Raw genomic sequence first — 26,737 nt, 5'->3', positions numbered from 1 at the left:
CATATAAATATATATCAACTATATAACATACACATATATCATTATACACACACATATGCATGTGTGTATGCAAATAAATAAATAAATGGAGGAAAAGGGAAATCTCTTCCTTACAGTACAACGCCAACTAATAAATGCGGAAAGCACAGTGGAGTTAGAAAGTTCACCTTTGGCAACCATCATAAAATACTTGTCTCAAGAAAGAATCATCAATAGAGGCAAAAACTACTGGGTGAAGTTTTTATGGGGAATAGGCTATTTACATAGTCTCAATATATCTCTCCAGAAGATAATTACTTAGTTTAAAAAAAAACAGAGGCCAGGCACAGTGGCCCACGTCTGTAATCCCAGCACTCTGGGAGGCTGAGGCAGGTGGAATGCTTGAGTCCAGGAGTTTAAGACCAGACTGGACAACATGGCAAAACCCTGTCTCTACCAAAAATACAAAAAATTACCCGGGCATGACGGCACACACCTGTGGTCCCAGCTACTTAGGAGGCTGAGGTGGCAGGATCACCTGAGCCAGGGGAGGAGGAGGCTGCATTGAGCCATGTTCATGTCACAGCACTCCAGCCCAGGCAACAGAGCCAGACCCTGTCTCTAAATAAATAGGAACTTCGCAGTGGACAGATCTGCCAGATGCCTCAGCCAAGCCATCAGAGTCAGCAGCTGCAGGAACAGGACAAACAGATGCGGCTTCTGATACGAGCCACGGAGAAGGACACAGTGTCTCCCCTGCGGTATCTGCCAAAAGTGTATACCCTGAGCCTCATGGTGAAGCAACACCAGACAAACTCAGGTTCAGGGACATTCTTCGAAATATTGGCCAGCTATCTTTAACTAAAAAAGTCAACATCATAAAAGGCAAAGATAGGCTGGGGCCAGTGGCTCACGCTTGTAATCCCAGCACTTTAGGAGGCTGAGGTGGGCCAATCACCTGAGGTCGGGAGTTCAAGACCAGCCTAACCGATATGGTGAAAATCCGGCTCTACTAAAAATACAAAAATTAGCTGGGCTTGGTAGCACATGCCTGTAATCCCAGCTACTCAGGAGGCTGAGGTGGGAGAATCGCTTGAACCCAGGAGGCAGAGGTTGCAGTGAGCTGATATCATGCCACTGCACACACACACACACACACAGACACACACACACACACACACACACACACACACACACACAGGAGAGGCAAAGATAAACTAAGGAGCAATTCCAGATGCAAGGATACTAAAAAGACATCAAAGCGTCCTGGGGTAGTGGCTCACACCTGTAATCCCAGGGCTCTGGGGGCCGAGGTAGAAGGATCAGTGGAGCTCAGGAGTTGAGATCAGCCTGGGCACCATGGCAAAACCCCATCTCTACAAAAAAATAAAACCAAAACCAAAACCAAAAATTAGCCGGGCGTGTTGGCACACACCTGCGGTCCCAGCTACTCCAGAGGCTGAGGTGGGAGGATTGCTTGAGCTCGGGAGATTGAGGCTGCAGTGAGCCCTGATTGTGCCAGTGCACTCTAGCCTGGATGACAGCAGATTAGGACCCTGTCTCAAAAAAAAAAAAAGAAAAGAAAAGAAAACTGAATATACCTCATGACCTGAGATTCTCTTTCGCCATAAAGGACGTTACTGAGACAACTGGTAAAATCTGGACAAAGTATATAGATTAGATGATATATTGCACTAATGTTAATTTCCTGATTTAGAGAATTATATCATGGCTATGTAAGAGAATGTCCTCATTCTTAGGAAATATACACTCAAAGTATTGAGATAAAAGGAGTGTGATGCCTGCAATTCTCTCTTAAATAATTTAGAAATGAGATAGAGGAAGAAAATGACCAATGCAATCCAATGCTAGTGTCTGGGAATCTGAATGAAATGTATATGGGAATTCTTTGTACTGTTCTTGCAACTTTTCTGCCAGTCTGAAATTGTGTCAAAATAAAAAAGTTGAAAAACAAACGGGCGGGGTGTGGTGGCTTGTGCCTGTAATCCCAGCACTTTTAGGAGCTGAGACGGGAGAATCGCTTGAGCCCAGAAGTTCAAGACTAGCCCGGGCAACATGGTGAACCCCCGTCTCTACAAAAAGTACAAAAATGAGCTGGGCGTGGTGGCGTGCACCTGTGGTCCCAGCTACTCAGGAGGCTGAGGTGGGAGGATTGCTTGAGCCTGGGAGGCAGAGGTTGCAGCGAGCCTAGATTGCACCATTGCACTCCAGCCTGAGTGACAGAGTGAGACTGTCTCAAAACAAACAAACAAGAAGTCAGTTTAGAAACTCGAAAGCTGACATTGACCCCTTTGTTCCTGCTATTCAGCTGTGGCCTCCCTTCCCTGGGGTAGAAGGCAGGAGAGCAGTGGCTGAAGCAGTGAAGGCCTGGGAGACACTTTTAGAGGAGAAAACAGTGCAGGGAATGCCAAATGCATTGGTCAAAATAATGATATTAGGAGCAGTAACCATCTGTATGTCGCAGGACAAATGCCATACGCTGAGGATGCTGTGGGCAGAGCCGGAAGTGTTTCGCAAACTTCAGCCCTTATTATCCAATCTTGGTGATTTTTGCAATTGACCTGCACAATCTTAACTTACTCAACATTTTAAAATGGACATTTTAAAAGCCTGGTATTTCTTAAAGAGGAAAGCTATCCCCATCACGCATGGAAAAGGACCGCACTAGAGATGAGCCTGAGAGGAAGGCAGGCGCCTTCACCGGGGAGAGGAAAGGCCGGCCCCGTGCCCCCAAATTGCTCTGGGGCTTTGGTGCATTGAGGCACTCAGCGAGATGTGACTGCGCTTGGTGAAAAGGGGCTGCTTTGGGCTGATGCCTGGGAAGAAGGTGACCGTTACGAACTAAATTTCCCACCCTGAACACATAGGGTTTTCTTTGTTTGTTTTGTTTTTGAGATAAAGTCTCACTGTATTGCCCAGGCTGGAGTGCAGTGGCGCGATCTCGGCTCACCACAACCTCCTCCTCCTGGGTTCAAGCCATTCTCCTGCCTCAGCTTCCCAAGTAGCTGGGATTACAGGCGTGCACCACCACGCCTGGCTAATTTTTGTATTTGTAGTAGAGATGGGGTTTCACCATATTGGCCAGGCTGGTCTCGAACGCCTGACCTCAAGCAATTCACCCACCTCGGCCTCCCAAAGTGCTGAGATTACAGACACGAGCCACTGTGCCCGGCCCACAGGGCTTTGAAATGATTCCAGACACCTCCACAGGTTGCTACGTGGGTGACGCGTTTTGCTGCGCTAAGAACTTGGTGTGCCCCTTCTTCCCTGGAGAATGTGGCCTCACCCCTTATCGGACCCCGTCTGCGAGCTCCTGACCCTCACGACTGGACTTCCATACACATGCAAACCTGCCAGTGGGACGGACCCTTTGGGAGCTCTGGCTGTGGCCGGCTGCACCCTCGGCATCTTCTCCCAAAGCTGGGAGCTCCAGCTGTGACAGGTCACCCCGCCAGCCTTGGAGCTACTCTCAGAAGCCTCTGGCCAGCGCTGGAACTGCCTTCTAGGGACCTTACAGCGCTTCCAAGAACGGCTGGTAGAAGGTGCACCTCAAACTGAGGCCTGCTTCCATCCTAAGTGAGCAAGTAGGCCTTGATCATTCTGGAACTGACCCACTGTGGGGTTAATGGGCTTCGTCTGTCGAGTGTATTCTCTGTGAGGTTTGGTCTCATTCTCTCCCTGTTTAAGCACTGGGAACCTAAGGAAAAAACATCTTTGTGTAGCAATAAACTGTGTGATTTGTGAAATCGTACTTTGATCATTTCCTTATTGTAACCACACAAAACGATCCCTAACCCCCAATGTATTTCTTTCGTGTGTGTGTGTGTGTGTGTGTGTGTGTGTGTCTCGCTCTGTCACTCAGGCTGGAGTGCAGTGGTGTCATCTTGGCTCTCTGCAACCTCTGCCTCCCAGGGTCAAGCAATTCTCCTGCCTCAGCCTCCCAAGTAGCTGGGACTACATGCATGCGCCACCATGCCCGGCAAATTTTTGTATTTTTTTTGTAGAGATAAGGTTTCCCCATGTTGCCCAGACTGCTCTTGAACTCTTGGACTCAAGTGATCCTCCTGCCTCAGCTTCCCAAAGTGCTGGGATTACAGGCATGAGCCAGCCTGTGTATTTCAAGGTAGGGCCTTTAAGGAGGTAATTCAGGTTAAATGGGTCCTAAGGGTGGGGCCCAGACCCAATATGACCGGTGTCCTTATAAGAGAGAGAGAGAGACACCAGGAGTGTACATGCCCAGAGGAAAGGCCATGTGAGGACACGGCCAGGGGCAGCCACCTGCAAACCAAAGAGAGGCCGCAGAGGAAACCAACGCTGCTGGCACCCTGATCTTAGACTTCCAGCCTCCAGAACTGTGAGGAAGATATCTCTGTGGGTTAAGTCACCCAGTCTATGGTATTTTGTTAGGGCAGCCGGAGCTTAGACAGAATGGCCTTGAGCCCACCACCACTCAGAGTGTGATCTGGGGACTGGCAGCATTCGCATCACCAGGATCTTGGGAGAAATTCACAGTCCCTGGCCCCAACCCAGCCTTGCTGAGCCCGAAATTGCATTTTGGCAAGCTCCTCCCTCCTTCCCGCGGATGGGGTGGAGGTCTCCACCAGGCCCTGGCTGTCAGCATCTCTGTGTATATGAGACATCCTAGCAGAAGCAGCCAACACAAAACAGTCCAGAGCCTGAAAGATGGTTTTCAATGTTTTATTTCACAAATTGTTCAGATTTGTTCATAAAAGATATGTTACAGGAACATTTTAGAAATCAAACCAGTTCTACTGAAACAATTGCAACAACGTGGCCCCTGTTCATGCAAAGCACAAAAAACATTTACAATAAAACTTTGTACACAGGAAGTAGCAAAATACATCATTTTTCATAGAAAAAAGCACACACATAAACTGCGGGCTGAGTGAGCCTACAGACAATATGAGAAACCAGCACACGCTTTGGAATACGGTAGGGCAAAACTCCTAAGGAAGCCGAAAATGTTCATCCTGTGGGCAGGAGAGCCAGGAACGCCGTTGGCTTGGTACAAGATCTTTTTAAACACAGGGTAAGTGTTGGTAGCACGAGGGGCCTCTATTCCACACACAGGAGAGGTGGTGCTAGGGACAGGGCTTATCATTTATAGTCTTGTTTCCATTTTCTGAAGACAAATATTCCAGTTTCAAAATGTTTGTGGGGATGATAAAGACAGCCAGGTCCATGGCCGGGCGCAGTGGCTCATGCCTGTAATCCCAGCACTTCGGGAGGCCAAGGTGGGTGGATCACCTGAGGTAAGGAGTTCGAGACCAGCCTGGCCAACATAATGAAACCCCATCTCTACTAAAAATACAAAAATTAGCCGGGCATGGTAGCTCACGCCTGTAGTCCCAGGTACTTGGGAGGCTGATGCATGAGAATTGCTTGAACCCGGGAGGCGGCAGTTGCAATGAGCAGAGATCACGCCACTGCACTCTACCTTGGGCAACAGAGTGAAACTTGGTCTCGGGAAAAAAAAAAAAAAAAAAAAAAAGACAGCCAGGTCCTGCTCTGGGCAAGGACTTTCTATCCTGCTAGGAAGGCCCAGTGAAGGAGGCATTAAGGAACCCGGGGACTTTATTTTTAAATGATGGGGTCAACTCACACTGGAAGTTTCAAGTCTCCCTTGAGTGGGATGCTTTGGAAGCGAGCCCACTGGGATCGTCCTGGACCCTTCACTAATTCTGCAAACCCCACAGGGCGATCTAATTTATCTTGCAGACACAGACACAGCCACAAAAGTCCAGCAGCAGAGCACCCAGCACCCAGAAGTTTCCCAGATGTTTGGTGGTAACTGGACTCACGACCTGACAGGCTGACCGAATTCTTCCTCTCCGACATTTGGGGCTGAGGAGTCAGTACCTATGAATTACGACTAGACTACAATGCACAAAGCACGTAGTCCTGTGAATTTTAGCTCAGTCAAGCTAAGAGTTGAACTGCTTTTTACCAACTCCTTAAAGGGGTGGGTTTTTGTTTTGTTTTAAACCTATTTACCTTCAGATTCTGCATTTATTAGAAAGGCAATCAAAGAAAGAAGGCATCACCTAGGTGCCCAGGTAGAATTTCTTGTCCAGTCTACAGTATCTTAGTTTTTGACTTTCTGCTAGTTCTTTCACCTAAGAAATATTTTGAATCAAATTTGAAACTAGCATTCACCAAAGTGATCTATTGGCTGGCCCGGTGGTAGAGAGTGGAATTTTCACCTTCTGCAAAAAAATGCTATTTACAAAAGGGTACTTCATTTCACTGTGGGCTTTTGGTCTGGGCTCATGAAGCACTTTTATAGAGTGATGGCAGCCAGGGTGTACTACACTCCTTGGCGCCTCGGGAACGTTTGGCAAGAGTCGTTTCACGAAAACAGGAAAAGAGATCCTTCTAGTGTATTCCCATCTCTCGCTGTCATGAGGCCACAGACGGTTTCATAACCACAAACTGAGCTGCTAACCTCGGTGAGGAATGTACCAAAGACTCCATTCCTCCCACGGCTGAAAAAATAGGTCATCGGGTGCGTGGGGAATCTGCACATTTAATTGTCATTTTTTAAAAGCAGCAAAGAGCAGGCCTTCTTTGGTTGTTCTCAGACATCTCGTCTCAGTGGAACCTTACGAGACCAGGAGTTAAGACTTGGGCTTCAAACAGGTTCGCTTGCAAAGAAAAGTCCTGGGTGTGAACCAGGACACGTAAACCAGTCCGAGGCAGGGTGGGAGCCACAACGGGTAGGGGGTAAAGAAAGGGTCCCGATCCTTAGTCCTCAATGGGACCAAAGGTCACGGCAGAAAACAGGTGGGCCATGAAGACGAAGGGCCTGACAAAGACAAGATACATCTCTGAAGTGACTGCTGAACTCTACATAAACCAGCACTGCTGTGTATAGAGCCATCCTGAATGCGGCCATTGAAGGGGGCCTGTGGCGGGCCGCCAGCAAGGACACGTGCCAGGGCGGAGCCGGGGTCTCTCATACCCGCAGCCCTCTTACTCTAGCCCATTTGTCTGTCTGACCAGCAAACATTAAAACCATTTTCCTCTATTGGTAGGGACGGACTGTGTTTTTTATTTTTAAATAACTACCTTCTACTTCATTCCTGAAACTCATTGGCGCTTGCTCAAAAGGCCTCTTCCGACGCCGTGAATGCTTCACAATTGTGAGCTTCAAATGGTTTGTTCTTTTGGCAGGGAGGTTGAAATCAACTTCCTCCACCAACAGAAGAACACATAGCAAGGAACATTTTGGGCAACTGTCCCCTTTAAGAGACAGCTCAGATCTCTAAAGGAGAGAGGACGTCCAGATGGAGACCCCCAGGCCCCAGCAGGATCAGGCACCAGGGAGTCCGGCTGAGCACCTTGGGATGCTGTTGCTTCAGTGAGGGGATGAGATGTCACCTCACCCACAGGCCACAAAGTGATGGACACTGAACATCAGTCAAAGGAAGTTTCCTGACTCTCCATATACCCCGCAATGACAAAATAAAAATAAAAGCAAAACCCCGAAGCCCTCCTGAAGACGCCCCTTCTCCCCTGGTGCTGGAAATTCACTGCCTGACAGCAAAGATCCGGAAGGCCTTTCCATCCCGAGGAGTCCCCAGGCTGAAAAAAAGAAGAAAGAGGGCCCGTTACTGAGAGATCTGGAGGGCCTCCTGCAGGGACTCTGGGTGGGCAGGGAGACCTGGGTGCCTCCTGCTTGCTCCCGTAGTGGAAGAGCCATGGCCAAGGGACACTTCCTTGAAGCCGCCAGACACAGAGCCTGCCTTGAGTTGAGAACAGGTGGCAAATCCCATTTTCTCTGCACATGAGCATCCATCTGATTCTAGGTCAAGGCTGTTAAGTTATTTCCTTTTAACTCAGGGATCTGCTGGACCCAGTCTGTCTGGATTGGACTCACCCTCCGAGAATTCTGCTTGGTTTCACTACCACCTGTCAACCCGAACAGTGGTGTCTTGGGAGAGATGAACAGGTGCTATCTCAGCACTACTGCATATGCCAGGTGCTTCACCGCCTTCCACCTTCCTCCTGAGGGAGCTGTTATCGCTCGTTCACAGGGGAGGAAACGGAGACACCAGGAAATAAAGAGATTTACCCAGGGTCCCATGGCTAGTAAAAACTGCCCTCTCACAAGAGGAGTTAAATCCTTCAGCTAATCAAAGATGGTTTTTAAAAAAGAGCTTTAGGCCAGGCGCGGTGGCTCATGCCTGTAACCTCAGCACTTTGGGAGTGAGGCGGGTGGACCACCTGAGGTCAGGAGTTCGAGACCAGCCTGGCCAACATGGTGAAACCCCATCTCTACGAAAAATACAAAAATTAGCCGGATGTGGTGGCAGGCGCCTGTAATCCCAGCTACTCGGGAGGCTGAGGCAGAAGAATCACTTGAACCTGGGAGGCGGAGGATGCAGTGAGCCAAGATCAAGGCATTGCACTCCAGCCTGGGGGACAAGAGTAAGACTTTGTCTCCAAAAAAAAAAAAAAAAAAGAGCTTTATTGGTCAGGCACGGTGGCTCACACCTCACACCTGGAATCCCAGCACTTTGGGAGGCCAAGGCAGGTGGATCACTTGAGGTCTGGAATTCGAGACCAGTCTGGCCAACATGGTGAAACCCTGCCTCTACAAACAATTAGCCAGGCATGATGGTGTGCACCTGTAATCCCAGCTAGTTGAAGGTTGAGGCAGGAGAATCACTTGAACGTGGGAGGTGGAGTGTGCAGTGAGCCAAGATTCTGCCACTGCACTCCAGCCTGGGCAAGAGAGTGAGACTCTGTTTCAAAAAACAAAAAAAAAACCAAACCAACTTTATTAAGTTTAACATACCGTATAAACTCAACCTTTCTAAGTGTACAATTCAATGGTTTTTAGAGATTTTATAGAGTTGTGCAGTCATCTCCACAATCCAGTGTTAGACAATTTTTAAAAATTGTTTTAGACACAAGGTCTGTCACCAAGGCCAGAGTGCAGTGGCATGATCGTGGCTTACTTCAGCCTTGACCTCCTGAGTGCAAGCGATCCTCCCTCCTCAGCCTCCTGAGCAGCATGTCACCAAGCCTGATTGATATATTTTATTTTTTGTACAGATGGAGTCTCACTATGTTGCCCAGGCTGGTCTCAAACTCCTGGGCCCAAGTGATCCTCCTGCCTCAGCCTCCCAAAGTGCTGGGATTATGGGTGTGAGCCACCGTGCCTGGCCTAATGGTGTCTTTTAAGGCATAAAAGTTTTAAACTTTGATAGAATACAATTTATCAATTTGTTTTCATTTATAGATTGTGCTTTTGGCGTCATATCTAGCAAACCATCCAAGGTCATGAAGGATTTATACTTGTTTTCTCAGACATCTGTAATTTTTAGCTCTTACATTTCAGCCTTGGATCCATTTTGAGTTAATTTTTATATATAGTGTGAGGCAAAGGTCCAACATCACAGTTTTACTTGTAAATATCTAATTGCCCTTGCATCATTTGTTGAGAAATTATTCTCTGCCCACTGAATGGTCCTGGCACCGATGTCAAAATCAATTGACTGGAAGTGTGATGATTTATTTTATGGACTTCCAATCATTTTTTTTTTTAATTTTTTTTTTAAATTTTTTTTTTTACCTTTTTTTGAGACCGAGTCTCGCTCTGTTGCCCAGGCTGGAGTACAGTGGTGCAATCTTGGCTCACTGCAACCTCTGCTTCCCAGGTTCAAGTGATTCTCTGGCCTCAGCCTCCCAAGTAGCTGGGATTACAGGTGCACACCACCACGCGGGGCTAATTTTTGTATTTTTAGCAGAGATGGGGTTTTGCCATGTTGGCCAGGCTGCTCTGGAACTCCTGACTTCGTGATCCTCCCCTCCTTGGCCTCCCAAAGTGCTGGGATTTCAGGCGTAAGCCACCGTACCAGGCCCAATCACGTTCTCTTAATCTCTGTGTCTGTCCTGATGTCAGCACCACCATCTTGATCACTGTCGCTGTATAGGATGTTTCAGAATTGGGAAGCCTAAGTGCCCCCTCCCGCTTTGCTCCTCTTGCTGTGGGCACAGCCTTCTAGAACACCAGGGACGCCTGGGAGCCTACCAAGGGCCACCACGGCTGTCTCATTCTCTAGATCCTCCCTGATTTTCTGCCCCAGATGATAACTGCACCTTTGGACCAACTGGCCTTCCTGTGTCTTGGCCACCAGGTTTGATACTGTTCCTGACAATGGCCAGAGGTGTGTGGTTTTCCTCGCTCTGCTTCAAATCAAGAAAGCCGCTGGATGGCACAGCCCCACCCCAGTAGAACTTCCAGCCACAGGAGCTGGTGGGGTGAACAGGAGCGGTCCCAGGCTCAGACACCACAGATCCCTCTGTTCTTATCTGAGGTCCACACTTTTTTGAACAAACACCTCCCTGTTCGTTGTATGACTCTGTGGTGTATTTCTGGAGTCCTGAAACAGCTGTTTTTGAACACTGCTTTTGGGAATAAGATTTCCCATGCATCCTGCTTTGGCATTCTGCAAATCTCACCTCTGGAGCATGTCTTCCAGACGCGAGTCTCCATCCCTACACTAACGTTTAGTAACTGTGTGACAAAGTCACTAAGTCTCTTTGGGCTTTTTTTTTTTTTTTTAAATTTTAAGACAGAGTCTCGCCCTGTTGCCCAGGCTGGAGTGCAACGGTGTGATCTCGGCTCATTGCAACCGCCGCCTCCCAGGTTCAAGCGATTCTCCTGCCTCAGCCTCTCAACTAGCTGGAATTACAGGCATGCGCCACCACACCCAGCTAATTTTTGTATTTTTTGTAGAGATGGGGTGTCACCATATTGGCCAGGCTGGTCTCTTGGCCGGGCTGGTCTCAAACGCCTGAGCTCATGATCCGCCTGCCTCGGCCTCCCAAAGTGCTGGGATTACAGGCTTCTAAGGATACTTTCCGGAATGTTCTGTGACAGTGCCGATGTTGGGGGTACCTGGGTTCTTGGGGGAGGTCCAGGAAGGGGCCAGGCTGGAGAGGAGACCCGGAAGGTGGGAGGAGGGGAGCATTAAATTGACGGGAGGCCATTGTTTTGGACTGGGCTAGGCCCAACAGACCAAACCAAATCAGATCGGAGTCACCCTGCTAGGTGCCACCTCATCAAACTGAACTTAGAAATGGGCTGGTTTTAGGCCAGGCACGGTGGATCATTCCTGTAATCCCAGCACTTTGGGAGGCTGAGGTGGGCAGATCACTTGAAGTCAGGAGTTCGAGACCAGCCTGCTCAACACAGTGAAACCCCTACTAAAAATACAAAAATTAGCTGGCTGTGGTGGCAGGCACCAGTAATCCCAGCTACCTGGGAGGCTGAGGCAGGAGAATCGCTTGAACCCAGGAGGTGGAGGTTGCGGTGAGCGAGATCACGCCACTGCACTCCAGCCTGGGCAACAGAGTGAGACTCTGTCTCAAAAAAAAAAAAAAAAAAAGCAATGGGCCGATTTTCCAAAAAATAGGAGATACACAGCAACAACCAATCAAAAGGGCCCCCAGTCCCTCTGAGCCAGCAGGATAGTGTGGCCTTCCTGCTTTAATCCTACAAGAAAAGTAACTGGGACGACCCATCCAAATTTTGTTGTTTCTTTTTTTTTTGAGATGGAGTCTCGCTCTGTCACCCAGGCTGTAGTGCAGTGGCGTGATCTCTGCTCACTGCAACCTCCACCTCCTGGGTTCATGCCATTCTCCTGCCTCAGCCTCCCGAGTAGCTGGGACTACAAGTGTCCAACACCACGCCTGGCTAATTTTTTTCTATTTTTAGTAGAGACGGGGTTTCACCTTGTTAGCCAGGATAGTCTCGATGTCCTGACCTTGCGATCCACCCTCCTCGGCCTCCCAAAGTGCTGGAATTACAGGCGTGAGCCACTGCGCCCGGCCTGTTCATCGTTTGTACTCTCTGCATGCAGCCTTTGCTGACTCTAAAACCTCCCCTCGCTGCTCAGTTCGTGGAAGCACCTTTCTATTCTGTACTTGGGATATTGCCTGATACATGAATTGCTAATAAAAGCCGATAAGATCTTGCAAACTCGCATTTGTTGGAATTTTGTTCTAGAAGGCAGCATGGCGCCTTGTAGACCCCAAAGCGTTGTTCACAGTGTGCAACCAGGGCCAGGCGCGGTGGCTCACGCCTGTCATCCCAGCACTTTGAGAGGTCGAGGCCGGCAGATCACTTGAGATCAGGAGTTCAAGACCAGCATGGGAACATGGTGAAACCCCATCGCTACCAAAAATACAAAAACAAAAATTAGCTGGGTGTGGTAGCAGGTGCCTGTAATCCCAGCTACTTGGGAGGCTGAGGCAGGAGAATCATTTGAACCCAGGAGGTGGAGGTTACAACGAGCCGAGATCACACCACTGCACTCCACCCTGGGCGATACAGTGAGACTCTGCATCAAAAAAAAAAAAAAAAAAAAAAAAGTGCAACCAGTGCCAGGTGCAGTGGCTCACGCCTATAATCCCAACATTTTGAGAGGTTGAGGCAGGTGGATCACTTGAGGTCAGGAGTTCAAGACCAGCCTGGCCAAGATGGTGAAACCCCATCTCTACCAAAAATACAAAAACAAAAATTAGCTGGGTATGGTGGCAGATGCCTGTAATCCCAGCTACTCGGGAGGCTGAGGCAGGAGAATAATTTGAATCCAGGAGGTGGAGGTTGCAATGAGCCGAGATCACACCATTGCACTCCAGCCTGGGCGACACAGGGAGACTCTGCGTCAAAAAAAAAAAAAAAAAAAAAGTGCAGCCAGGAGTGTTCTTTCCACATCAAAATTAAAATGGAAAAGACTAATCATAGCCGCACATTTTAGTTGTTGAACACACAATCCTTAAGGCAAAAAACACTCTCCCTCTCAACCCTGTCTTTCTGCACCAAGTTCTCCCCAGAGGAGAGATGTTTAGATCTTATGTGGATGTTAACAATTATTATATTTTTTCCCTCACCCATTTTTTCAACACAAATATTATATACATACTGCCATAGACATACCACTCTGCACTTTGCTTTTTTAGCTTAACAATATATCTCGGGATTTGTTGCTTTACTATACAGAAAGAACTCATTCTTTTTATCCACTGCATAGTATTCCATTGTAATAAAGTGTTATATTTAACTGGATCCCTATTGGTGGACATTTAGTTCTTTCTAATCTTTTTTTTTTTGCGTGTGTGTGTGTGTGTGTGTGTGTGTGTGTGCAGTGACACCATCATGATTCACTGCAGCCTCAACCTCCTGGGCTCAAGTCATACTCCCACCTCAGCCTCACCAGTAGCTGGGACCACGGGTGCATACCACCATGCCTGGTTAATTTTCGTATTTTTTAGAGATGGGATTTCACCATGCCGCCCATGCTGGTCTCGAACTCCTGGGCTCAAGCAATCCTTCCGTCTCAGCCTCCCAAAGTGCCCGGATTATAAGCGCGAGCCATTGAGCCCGTGTTTTCTAATTTTTTACCTTTGCAAACAATGTCATTGTTGTCCATGGGACTTTTTGCTTTTGTGTGAGGGTGCCTGAGAGTGAGCGCCTAGGAGTGGAATTGCTGGACCAAAGGACGTGCATTTGCATCTTGACAGCTGCCAACCTGCCCTGCATAAAGATAACACCTGCAGACTCCCCGGACAATGACAACGGGGCTGTGCGATGCCTCCCAGCGCTGTGTGATGCCTCCCAGCGCTGTGTGATGTCTTGCTTTTGGTTCTTGACCAATAGAAGGTAGGGAGTGGCATCCAGATATCATTTTCATTTGCATCTTGCTCATGATGAAGGAGTTTGAGTATAAGATTAACAGCCTAGTCACCATTTCTGGGCGGGGTTTCCTTTAGGATCTCCGCTCCAAACAAAGAGAGCCCCCAGATTGGAAACTGCCAGACTAGCCAGGAGACCCCGGCCCTCTCAGGCTGCTAAGATCTGCAATCCTCCGAGAGCAGGCCGCTTGGAATTCCTGGTTGTTTTTTAGCCCTTCTCCATGGCAGCTTCACACTTTTGGCTACCCTGGAATTGAACTTTTGAAACGTGTATCAGATGGGAGCACTCGGAGAGATGGAGCTGCAAAGAAACGCCAAGAGCCAAGACCCAGGCAGAACGCTTGGCCGCAGGTGGCTCCGGACCAAGAGGAGGAGAAAGAGTGGCCAGGGGCTGGGGTGACCCTGGCGGCCCTGCTGGTTTCTGGAAAGTTCAGATTCCAGGGCCCTCCTCAGGCCTTGGGGGATGTAAGATTTCCCTGAATTCTCTGTCCAAGTGAATATCCTGGGAGAACCAACCAGGGCCACAAGTTACTGTGGTTATTCTGCATGGGGGGCAAGCCACGTTGGGGAAAATTACCAGGGGTCTGTGTCCCTCCTGACTTACTATGGGTCTGCAGATTCTATGGACGGTGCAGTGGGTTCTCATGTTCTCAGGGCCCCAAACAACCAAGGGACAAGGGAACCATTCAGGCTGCCGTCCAGATGTAGACATGGCCAGCCCAAGGGCCCTGGGTATCTTGCCTGGACAACCATGCACCCCATTAAACAACCTGCTCACCTTGGAGGTAAGAGCAGGCCCCGACAAGCTGGGCAAGTATTTCCTAACACATCAAAGAATGTGCTGACACCGCCCAGGATGCCACCGTGCAACTGGCAGCATCAACTGTTGGTGCCATCCACCGCCACAGGTAAAAATTCCCGCAGGTTTGGGCACCAAGAAAAATTCCCCACCTTCAGTGTCCCCAGTTGTTCATGCCTCAAGCAGTTATTAAGCTCCAGGTATGCTGGGGAAGTTGGTAGTTGTACGTGTCTGATGAATAACGAGTGTGGCTTGATAATTATAAAATACCCTTCCCGCCCTTCTTTCCCAAATCTTGCCCTCTGATTCTCTTTTTGGATTAGCTTGTAACTCCCATACATGCCTGAAGGAGTATAAATTGCTGCAGTATTTCTGGGTAATTTTCATAAAAGGTATTGGACTTTTTATCAAGTGTATCAAGCAACTTTCATAAAGAGCACTAAACAACTTTGATACAGGGTATTGAAAATCCCTCAGGCGGGGCACAGTGGCTCACACCTGTAGTCTCAGCACTTTGGGAGGCTAACGTAGGCGATTGCTTGAACCCAGGAGTTTGAGATCAGCCTGGGTGACACAGTGACCCCTGTCTCTACAAAAATAAAAAAATTAGCCAGATGTGGTGGTGCACGCCTGTGGTCCCAGCAACTAGGGAGGCTGAGGTGGGAGGATTGCTTGAGTCCAGGAGTGCAATGGTGCAATCACAACTCACTGCAGTTGAGGCTGCAGTGAGCCCAGGAGTACAACGGTGCAGTCACAGCTCACTGCAGTTGAGGCTGCAGGGTCTCACTTATGTTGCCCAGGCTGGAGTGCAGTGGTGCAACTGGGACTATAAGTGAGAAATAAAAGCCCTCAACCAACTCTGAACCAATTGCTCAACTCAGCAAAGTCTCATTCAACCAGTGTTTACTGAGCACCTGCTATGTGCCAAGTGCTGGGCAGCATCAGGGCTGTGGGGTTAACAAGACCAGTGAGGCTCTTGCCTTCAGGAAGTTTACAGTCTGGGGTGGGGTGAGAAGTAGCAAAACATATGCAAGAAACAGTTTCAGAAGGTGATGAGTCAGGGGAAATGACACAGATCCATCAGGGAGCAGGAGACAAGTGCAGGCTGGATGGTGGAGAACGCTGCCTAGGGAGGGGCCATTTCAGTCTAAAACAGCCCAGGAACGTATGAGAGCCCAGAGGGTACCAGACAGCAGCTACAAAAGCACTGAGGTGTGCATGATCTTGGTGCAGTCAAGGAGCAGAGAGGCCAGTGAGGTGGAAATGTAGGAGGAAGATGCACAGAGAGGGTGGGGGAGCGGGCAGGGGCCGAAGCAGCTGCGGCCTTGAATGGGAGTGGGGCGGATTTGATTCTTAGTACAATGGAAAGCCACTGGCGGGGGAGCCTTACACAGGAAAGGATGTGCTGACTTTTTTCCTTGGTGCGACACTGTGCATTGCATTAGGACAGCACTTTGGTGGCTGTGGCTGTTCTGGTAAGAGGAAGTCACCTAAATAAATCGGCAAGAAAGTGCACAGGCTTGCGCAAAAATGTTCTTTCTAGTGTTGTTTATTACAGTGAAAGAAAAAAGGAAACGATCTGAGTGTCAATCAGTGATGATAAACGGATGATGGTCTCTCCATGCCTCCGAATCTGTGCAGCCACTGAAACCACGGTGTGGCTAGACAGGCTAGGGCTTGAAGAGCTAGCCACAATCCGATTAACAAAACAATACTAATAGCATAATCCCTTTTTAAAAAGCGTGTTTAAGCCGGGTGTGGTAGCTCACGCCTGTAATCCCAGCATTTTGGGAGGCCAAGGCAGGCGGATCACCTGAGGTCAGGGGTTCGAGACCAGCCTGGCCAACATGGCGAAACCCCGTCTCTACTAAAAATACAAAAATTAGCCGGGCCTGGCAGTGGGTGCCTGTAATCCCAGCTACTTGGGAGGCTGAGGCATGAGAATCACTTGAACCTGCGGGGCAGAGGTTGCAATGAGCCGAGGTCAAGCCGCTGCACTCCAGCCTGGGCAAAACAGCGAAACTCTGAAACTCCGTCTCAAACAAACAAACAAACAACAAAAAAAGGCGTGTTTATATGTAAACACAGAAGAAACCTGAAAGAAAATACACTGGAATGTTTACAGAGGTTGTTTCTGGGTATGGGAAGTTGAGTGCTATGAAGATCTTAAAATTATTTTCACTATATTGTTGAGGTTTCTCTAGTCTTTTTGAGACACGGTCTTGCTCTGTCACCGAGGCTAGAGTGCAGTGGTGCAATCTCCACTCACTGTAGCCTCCTCCACCTCCTGGGTTCAATCAATTCTCCTACCTCAGCCTCCCAAGTACCTGGGACTACAGGTGCATGCCACCATGCCCGGCTTTTTTTTTTTTTTTTGTATTTTTAGTAGAGATGGGATTACACCCTGTTGGTCAAGCTGGTCTTGAACTCCTGGCCTCATGTGATCCTCCCACCTCAGCCTCCCAATGTACCTGGATTACAGGCATGAGCCGCCGCACCCGGCCTAGAAAGGCCCTTTAAAGGCCAGAGTAAAGGGGCAGGAACAATCCAGGGACTCTCTGAAGAGCTCCCCAGAAGCACGGGGCTCCCTCCTAGAGGCCAGCCAGGGACAGGCACGTGGGGCTGCATCCCCCTCAATTGCCTTGAAAGTGACCTGAGGAGGAAGAGCTTGCCTTTTGGCATCACCCAACACACAGACGGGATTAAGGAGGGTGGACGGCCGGTTCTGGTTCCAGAGGCAGACAGGGAAGCTGCCCTGTGGAGTCCTGAAGCCAGCACTAAAAGGACGGCAGAAGAGGAACCCCTGAGTGCTTAGTCTTCTGGCTTTTAAAAAGTGTAATTTATTTTTAATTATTAAGAAATATCATTTATATGTATATAACTGTCTCTATATGTATGAGTGTACATACATGACTGTGGACACAGATGCTCCCTGACTTACGGTGGGTCGCGTCCTGATAAACCCATCGGAAGTCAGAAGTCCACATCGGAAATGCACTGAATACACCTCGCCTCCATCACAGCTCAGCCTCGCCTACCTTCCGTGTGCTCAGGACACTGACCTTAGCCCACAGCTGAGCAAAATCACCTAACACAGGCCTATTTTACAAGGAAGTTAGTATAAAGAATTTTCAATCAAAATGCAAAATTTGAAGTATGGTTTTTGCTGAATACATATGGCTCTCACACCATTATAAAGTTGAAAAGTCATAAGTTGAACGATCTTAAGTGTCTAAGACTGTCTGTATATGTGTATGTGTCTGTGTGTGTGTGTCTCTCTCTATATATAGTCTTTTTTTTTAAAGGATTCCAATCCTGGCTGGGCACGGTGGCTCACACCTGTACTCCCAGCACTTTGGGAGGCTGAGGTGGGCGGATCACTTGAGGTCACGAATTCGAGACCAGCCTGGCCAACATGGTGAAATCCCATCTCTACTAAACATATATATATATGAAAAAAATTAGCCAGGTGTGGTGGCGGGTGCCTGTAATCCCAGCTACCTGGGAGGCTGAGGCAGGATAATCACTGAACCCAGGAGGCAGAGGTTGCAGTGAGTGGAGATCGCGCCACTGCATCCCAGCCTGGGCAACAGAGGGAGACTCCATCTCCAAAAAAAAAAAAAAAGGATTCCAATCTTGTTCTCCCAGAGTCTCACCCCTCTATTGATCCCTCAGGAAAATTTCAAAGTTAGACAGGTACAGGTTTAGCTCTCATCTTTAGGACCTTGGGCTGGTTAACCCTTTTCTCTGAGCCTCAGTTTCCCCATCTGTAAACTGGGTTCCTCAAAGTGCCCACTCCTTAGGGACACTGTAAAAAGTCCATGAGCCTCTCCAGGGAGGTACCTGGGCCAGAGGCGAGCATCCAGCAGGTGCTCAGTAGCCGGGAGCTACAAATGCCATCGCCCCTGCTAGGTTTAAACCTTGCCCTCCCTTCAAAGTGAGAATGTGGGCAACGCAGGCTGGGTATGCACAAGTGGTGAGTGAACTATCCTCACAAAGCCCACACTCTAGGGAACTGTCAAACCTCTTCATCTCATTTGATGAAATATATCATTATTCTTAGGGGGGAAAAGTTTCAGACTAGCACGTATAATACAATCTCCGTTTTGATTTGTATGTGAGTTTTATGTGCACGGGGGAAAAACAGGTCAAGAAAAGTTATAAATCAGCAGTTAACTGAGGTTAACAGGGCACCTGTTGGGACTCTTACTTTTTGCTCTCTGGATGTATTATTTAAATAATAAGTATGTATTTCTTGTATCGTAAAGACAGGAACAAGTATATCTTGGCATTCAAGGGTCTCCCTGGCCCCTTCTTGGGAAGGGTCTGTGCCCCAAGTTCAGTGGCCTGTCCAGGCTGAGGAAGTCATGAGTGCTGCTTAAAAGCATGGATTCTGGTACAGGCGGCCTAGGTTTGAGTCCCAGCTCTGCCCCTGGTAGGCTGGGTGACCTTGGGCAAGTCGTTTAACCTCTCTGTGCTTCCCTTCCTTTACTGATAAAATAGGGATAATGACGGTTCCTACTTTGCAGGGCTGTTGGGGAATGAGATGTGCTAACGTGTGCAGAGCTGGTGGAAGTTTGGAATACGAGTGGAGGAGGGGAACCTGCCTGTCTGCTATCAGCAGCTCCTCTGCAGAGCACAGAGAACCTCATGTCCCAGCCTCGGGGCAGCCTGGCTTGGGGGAGAGTGCAGGGCTCCTTAGATCTGGAAATGATAGCTTAGTATCTTCTGTTTCTCAGGATTTCTAGACCCATAGCGAGATCTTCAGTCACCTGACCCTTGAGATTCTCGGTGCTGAGTTGTCTAATACAGTAGCCACCAGCCGTGGGTACTCACTGAGACCCAAAATGGGCTCGTCCAAATGGAGATGTGCCTAAGGGTGAAACACACACCAGATCTCCAAGACCTTATACCCAAAAAAGAATGTAAATTTCTTATTTCTAATAATAATTTTCTATTGATTACATACTGAAATAATATGGATATATTGGGATAAGTAAAATGCATCCTAAAATTTCCCTTCCATTACTTCTTCCTTTGGCTTCTAGAAACTTTAGAATCCCATGTGTGCTCACATCATATCTCTGCTGCACTTGCCACAGCAGACCACACCCCTATGAGGACAGGGATTTTTCTCTCTTCTGTTCCCGGCAGTGTCCCCAGTCCCTAGCGCAGGGGCTGCCCATGAGTGTTAGGTGAATGAATTTGCGATTCAGATGGCTGTGCACCCATATATACCTTTGTATAAAGGTGACATTTTAAAAAATCAAGTGGCCAAGAATGCTCACTGTCATTGTTTATATATTTCCCAATCTCTTGCAAAATCTGTGTTAAAAAATGGTTCTGGTCTAAGAAAAATTCTGAACTGACATTCACCCAGATGTCCGGCATTTCCCCAAGAATATTCAGACACCTTCGTCCCAGTATTGAAAGCTCTTCCTGATGTCTTTTCTTTCCTTTGATACCCAGGTGGGCAGGGGTGAGAGAGCAGGTGCTAGTCTCTTATGTTGCCTCATTTCTGCATGGCTGCCTTTCAAAACGTCCAGGAAGTCCTCTTCTAGAGGAGGATCATTGCTAAACCAAAACCACTGTGAAGCAGAACTGACCTTCGGCCCCGTGTGCTGAGAATCCTGTTTGGGGGTTTTGGTGGTTTGTGTGATTGAAGGATTCCCTACATTTAAAGTACAGTTTGCTGTGAACTGGTCACAGTATATACAACATCTACGTCTCCCTTGGGACTGCCTGTGACCGCCCCCTCGCCAAGGGCTTACCAGCCGTCAGGGACAGAGCCACCCTCTGACTCCAGGCTGGGTTTCCACAGCCCCTATTGGGAATAAGCTCCTGGGAAATTTCCCAGCCTCTGCTTTGTGCAGAGATGGTGGCTGAGATCCCACCTAAATAAGGAAAGGACAGGGCATGGCCACACCCAGGTGTCTCTGCAGGGTTCTCTTGGGAGCCATGTCCCCAAGGAGTCCCCTCTGGACAGTAAGACTAGCCCTCTTGATGCCTCCCTGAACTGTCCCTCCACAACAGTGACCCCCTGGGCCCTGCTGCTGGCATTGTCATTTCTGCACTGTGTCCTCTCACTAGATGGCAAATCCCATGACGGCAGAGGTCTGCTGTTGTGCTCCCTGTGGGATCCTGGGTGCCAGGGACATCGTCAGCGCTCCCTAAGTGTATGATGCCTGCATGGAGTGAGCGTTGGAAGGATGGAAGCAAGGATGAAAGAATGAATTCCTGGAAGATCCCTGACCCCTCATCCTGAGAGATAAGTCATGTAGGCCATTTCTTAGGATCCAGCCACCTGACCCTATGAGAAAAGAACCATGGCATCTTTTGAAGTTGTGGCAACAGGTGCCCCTGGGTTTCATGTCATGCTTACTGTGAGCCGCTAGCCGAGGGCTGGACACACACCTCTCACATAATTCTCATGGCAACCCATTAGAGAGAGGAGCTGCCAAGGCCCAGGGAGACTGCCCAAGGTGACCCTGCTGGGGACTGGGGGAGCAGTGTCCCCAGTGCAGCGGGCGCCACATACTGTCCCGGCCATCACCCTGTTGGGGGCTCCAGTGCTCACTCCCCTTCTGAGCTGTGAGTTCTAGGGCTCAATCATCTGTGCCCTGGGTCCCAGCACAGGTGCGTGATGAATATTCAGTGAATGAGTGACTTTTTTTTTTTTTTTTTTTTTTTGAGATGGAGTCTCGCTCTGTCACCCAGGCTGGAGTACAGTGGTGGAATCTCGGCTCAGTGCAACCTCCGCCTCCTGGTTTCAAGCGATTCTCCTGCCTCAGCCTCCCGAGTAGCTGGCATTACAGGCGTGCACCACCATGCCCAGCTAATTTCTGTATTTTTAGTAGAGACGGGGCTTCACCATGTTGGTCAGGCTGGTCTCGAACTCCTGACCTCAAGTGATCTGCCCGTCTCGACCTCCCAAAGTGCTGGGATTACAGGTGTGAGCCACCACGCCTGGCTGAATGACTCTTAGTAGCAAAATAATATCAGAATCAAGGGTATAAAATCTTGAAGATGCGGTGTGTTTTTCACACTTATGCACATCTCCAAACGGGCTCAGGATAAGCCCATTTTAGGTCTCAGTGAGCACCCACCGTTGGTGGCTACTGTACTGGACAACTCAGCGCTGAGAATCTCAAGGGTTGGGTCACTGAAAATCCCTCTATGTGTCCAGAAACCCTAAGAAACAGAAACTATTGAGCTGTTATTTCCACATCTAACAGGCTCTGCACTCTCCCCCAGGCCAGGCTGGAGCAAGGGTGGGACGTGTGTGCTGACTGACTTGTGTCAGGTTTGCCAGGTTCGCGTGACTCTTAGAACGGCAGCTGTCACAGTCGAGCATGCAGCACGATGCCCCCGAGGACCTGCTCAGACGCAGGCTGCTGGGCCCCTCCCAGAGATTCCGATTCAGCAGAGCTGGGTGGGGCCGGAGGATGTGCTTTTCCAACAAGCTCTGGGTTGATCTGGACACTGTTGGCCTGGGGACCCCACCTGGAGACCTCCTGCCCTGCCACCACCCCAGGGGGCAGGTAATATTATTCCCCCCTTTATAGGTGAGGAAACTGAGGCACAGAAAAGCTGAACCCAAGCATTATCACAGATGCCAGTCCACAGGACGGAGGAGCAGAGAGTCTGAGGAGCAAGAAAAGCAAAGTCTTAACTCTGGAAATGCTGCAGAAAATCACTAAAATCTTTCTAGAGTACAGAAGGCACCAGTGACATGTGTGCTTGGGAGGGATGCCTGGAAGACACCTACAAAGACAGCGACAGTGGCGATTTGGGTGGGTGTCACAGGAAGAGAGAAAGACCGACAGCCCCCCACACCCTGGGTGATAGTGGGGCGGGTGGGAAAGCTGCTTCGGGGGCCTTCTCTCCATCCCTGCCCTCCCCAGGGGCCTACCAATGGGGCCCCCACAATGAGGTCCCTGTCCCCAGCCCACAGGGCACTGCTGTGATGTTCTCATGAATCAGCCCGACAGGGAACAAATCCCAGCTGGCTGCGCTGCTCAGGAAGACTGTTTTCTCTCAAAGAGGGTACAAAGAGCTCAATAAATTGATGTCCTGGGATTTCTTTCCAGCCCGGCCAGGAAATTCCTCCTAATCAGCTGCTTCATTTCCCTCCCATTAAATCAGTGGAATTTCCCTTCATTAAGCTTTTCCCAATCAAAGGCCGCACGTGCTGAAGGAGAAAACGTGGAAGCTGTCTACTTGGGCTCTTCAGGGCTGCCGATGGCAGAGTCACCGGGCAGGGGTCCCGGGAAGAATGGGCACGATCTGGGTACAAGTGATGCTGTGGCATCTTCACAGACAGGGCAAGCCCGCTGCACAAAGTGCCCAGGAGGCTGGCAGTGGAAGCAGGGGCCGTGTCCCAGGAGGCAGGAAGGCCTGAGCGTCCAGGGGCCCAGGGCAAGTTACAGCCTTGATTTTATTCCTTCTCTAAAGAACGTCCCTCAAATATGAAATCTTCAACATTGCCCTGTTACGAGCTCGCCTGTGGTCCCTCAAAATCCATATGTTAATGTCCTAACCCTCAAGTGCACCTCAGAATGTGACTGTATTTGCAGATCTTTAAAGAGATAATCATGGCGGCCGAGTGCGGTGGCTCACACCTGTGATCCCAGCACTTTGGGAGGCCAAGCCAGGCAGATCACCTGAGGTCAGGAGTTGGAGACCAGCCTGGCCAACAGGGCGAGATCCAATCTCTACTAAAAATACAAAAATTAGCCGGGCATGGTGGTGCATGCCTGTAATCCCAGCTACTTGGGAGGCTGAGTGCCCTTTCTGAATGACACTCAGGAAAGGCCCCACTTAGGAATTTCACTTCTAGGGACTTTGTTTGGTCTTTTTTTCTTTTTTTTGAGACAGAGTTTTGCTCTTGTTGCCCAGGCTGGAGTGCAGTGACACAATCCCGGCTCACTACAGCCTCTACCTCCCGGGTTCAAGTGATTCTCCTGCCTCACCTGACCTCAGGTGATCCACCCACCACTGCTTCCCACAGTGCTGGGATTACAGGCTTGCGTCATCACACCCGGCCCACTTCTAGGGATTTAAGGAAACAGTCACGGTGTGTGCAAGCATTCCTGGAGAAGACTACTTACTAGGGGAGGATCTGCTCCCTGGGATGGAAAGGACTCACACCAGCTACGAAGAGAAACGCGCTACAGTCATTCACAGTCACTACCAATGACTTATGGTCATAGATTTCCATAAAGGTATGGTCTCGAGTGGAAATACGGAGTAATCAACATAACCCTCATTTGCAGAGTGCTTCTTACTGCCACTTCTTTTTTTTTTTGAGATGGAGTCTCACTCTGTCGCCCAGGCTGGAGTGCGGTGGCGCGATCTCAGCTCACTGCAAGCTCCGCCTCCCGGGTTCACGCCATTCTCCTGCCTCAGCCTCCCGGGTAGCTGGGACTACAGGCGTGTGCCACCACGCCTGGCTAATTTTTTGTATTTTTAGTAGAGACGGGGGTTTCATCATGTTAGCCAGGATGGTCTCGATCTCCTGACCTCATGATCTGCCTGCCTCGGCCTCCCAAAGTGCTGGGATTACAGGCGTGAGCCACCACGCCCAGCCACTGCCACTTCTTACTGGCAATAGGTAGGCACCATTTCCGTTCACCTCCCAACAGCCCTGTGGGGCAGGGTTTATGATTATCCCTATTTCACAGATGAGAAAACTGAGGCTCAAGGAAATCAGGTGGCTTACTCGGGGTCACAAAGCTGGTAAGAAACAGGGCCCAGGTCTGTTGGACTCCAGGCTCCCTAATCTTATTTAACTCTATGTAACTATATTACGATGTAGCTTTATATGACTAGTATGTAACTATCATTTGATCCCATTTTTTTGTGGGAAAAAAATGCACACACACACACACACACACACACACACACACACACAAAGAAAAACAACCGGAAGGACGCACGCCAAGAAATCTAACAGTAAATTCTCCCAGCTGATGAGTTATGGATGACTGTTTATCTTCGGGCTTATCTGATGTTCCTACAGATTATAAATTTTCTACAAAAACGTCCATTGGTAATAGGAAAAAAAGTTCTTTTTTTTTTCTTAATCCCAAATGTGATAGTAGGGAAAAGCATTCCCTAGTTTCAAAAACAAAAGAAAGAGAAAAGCAAAGAAGTCTCTTACCTGGGAGTCCTGGTAAGAATTCGTGCAAGTCTACCCGAGTTTTATTTTAAAGGGTAATGACTCTGGGCCTCTTCCCAGGCCCCCTGAGGGACCATTAGCAGCCGGGATTGGGTGTCAAGGGTTGGAGAACACCACCCTACCTTTCAGACTGAACTCCATTCCTGAGCGAGCCCACGTAGGTCTTCTTTTTATCCACGGGCATCACGTCCACGTCACCCCCACTCTCGTTGCTGATGACTCCCGCGTGCACGGCTGTCTTGCAGATGCTTGAGGTCTGGAAGCACAGGAAGGGCTGTGATCAGCGATGCGGATTCCAGCTCATGGGTCAAGCCAGCTGGGGCTCCATCATTCACTGCTGGGCAACCTGGCTGGTGGGATGTGGACCCCATCAACCCTTAGGAAATAATCATCACTACCTTGATGCCTTGGGGGTCTCTCCAGAGAGACTGGACATCATGCATTCATTCATTTGTTCAACAAGTGTTTTCTAAGCACCTATTATATGCCAGGCACGGAATTAGGAACTGGGGGAATTCAGCAGGGAACAAGATAAAGACCTTGCCTTCAAAGAGTCGAGTGAGCAAATAAATAAATACACAAATGAGGTAGCATCGGCTATGAAGAAAACAAAACCAGTTCACAAGGTTAAATGCCTGGGTGGCGGGGGCTACTTCAGAATTGTTTCATCAGGGGGAACTGCTCAGGGAAGACAGAACGACATAAAGGAAACAGTCACAGCCGTGGGAATGTCTCTGCACAGAGCATCCCAGGCAGAGGGAAAGGCTCGTGCAAATGCCCTGGGGTGGATATAAACTCATCATATCCAAGAAACAGACAGACAGCCAGGGTGGCTGGAATACAGTGAGTCAGGCAGAGCGTGGCAGGAGGTGTGGGCAGGGGCCATTCATGCCATGTAGACTGGACACAGGGTGGCGTCTGGACTATTCTAGGTACCAAGGGAGCAGCTGGGTACCTCGCAGAGGCAGGATGTGCTGGTTTCTGACATCATCAAGGAGTTCAGTTTCTGGGTGATAAAACCTTCCAGGCTCAAGGGATCCTCCCACCTCAGCCTCCCAAGTAGCTGGGACTACAGTTGTGTACCACAACACCTGGCTAATTTTTAAAAATTATTTGTAGGGACAAGGTCTCGCTGTGTTGCTCACGCTGGTCCTGAACTCCTGGGCTCAAGCAATCCTCCCGCCTTGGCCTCTCAAAGTGCTGGGATGACAGGCATGAGCCACTGCACTCGGCCCAATTGTTGGTTTTGAAGATGGAAGAAGAGGCCATGAGCCAATGAATGCAGGTGGCCTCTAGAAGCCGGAAAAGGCAAGAAAACGGATTCTCCTCTGAAGCCTCTAGAAGGAAGCAGCCCTGCTGCCACCTTGATTTTAGCCTGGTGACACCCACATTGGACTTCTGGCTTCCAGAACTGTAAAGATAATAAACCTGGGTTTCTTTAAGCCACCACGTCTGTGGTGATTTATTCTAACAGTAATAGGAACCTAACAGCTTCTAACCACTGTCCACAAAAATGTCCCCCACTGTGGGTGGATCTAGCGATCTGATTTATTAAGTCCCTTAAGTCTGATGACTTCAATTTATTTATTTATTTATCTATCTATTTTTTGAGACGGAGTTTCGCTCTTATTGCTCAGGCTGGAGTGCAATGGCGCAATCTCAGCTTATCGCAACCTCTGTCTCCTGGGTTCAAGTGGTTCTTCTGCCTCAGCCTCTTGAGTAGCTGGGATTACAGGCACGCACCACCACGTCTGGCTAATTTTGTATTTTTAGTAGAGACACGGTTTCTCCATATTGGTCAGGCTGGTGTCGAACTCCTGACCTCAGGTGATCCACACGCCTCGGCCTCCCAAAGTGCTGGGACTACAGGCGTGAGCCGCCGCGCCCGGCCTGACTTCAAATTTATAGGAAATAGAATCCCCAGGAGAATGACACCATAAGTGTCTGGACAACAGGCTCACCCAGGCTCACGGACTCGCCTGATCAGTCCCCGGCAGCAGCTTGCTAATTTAAGGAAAGATGAAAAGCTG

At 49.1% G+C, this 26,737-nt stretch overlaps 1 protein-coding gene across 2 annotated transcripts in view, besides 1 other annotated feature; it reads right to left on the bottom strand.

The window, feature by feature from the left end:
- Positions 3,923–4,038: a silencer, noted in NCBI's record as "fragment chr16:84943761-84943876 (GRCh37/hg19 assembly coordinates)". NCBI's record gives its function as "represses an EF-1alpha promoter that drives an FKBP-Casp9 reporter gene in an ReSE screen in K562 erythroleukemia cells {active_cell/tissue: K562}" and the evidence as "EXISTENCE:reporter gene assay evidence [ECO:0000049][PMID:32094911]".
- Positions 4,685–26,737, bottom strand: part of CRISPLD2 (cysteine rich secretory protein LCCL domain containing 2) — an 89,524-nt gene continuing 67,471 nt past the window's right edge. For both annotated transcript variants that reach the window (XM_005256190.2, NM_031476.4), the window contains 2 exons: positions 24,830–24,963; positions 4,685–7,605 (listed from right to left, as the gene is read on the bottom strand). In XM_005256190.2, coding sequence (XP_005256247.1) covers positions 7,551–7,605; positions 24,830–24,963 — 189 coding nt within the window. In that variant the 3' untranslated portion in view covers positions 4,685–7,550. The remainder of the gene's footprint in view (positions 7,606–24,829; positions 24,964–26,737) is intronic.

This window comes from Homo sapiens, chromosome 16 (assembly GCF_000001405.40).
Source record: "Homo sapiens chromosome 16, GRCh38.p14 Primary Assembly".
Classification (NCBI taxonomy): domain Eukaryota; kingdom Metazoa; phylum Chordata; class Mammalia; order Primates; family Hominidae; genus Homo; species Homo sapiens.
This window is presented reverse-complemented; position numbering and strand designations above follow the sequence as displayed.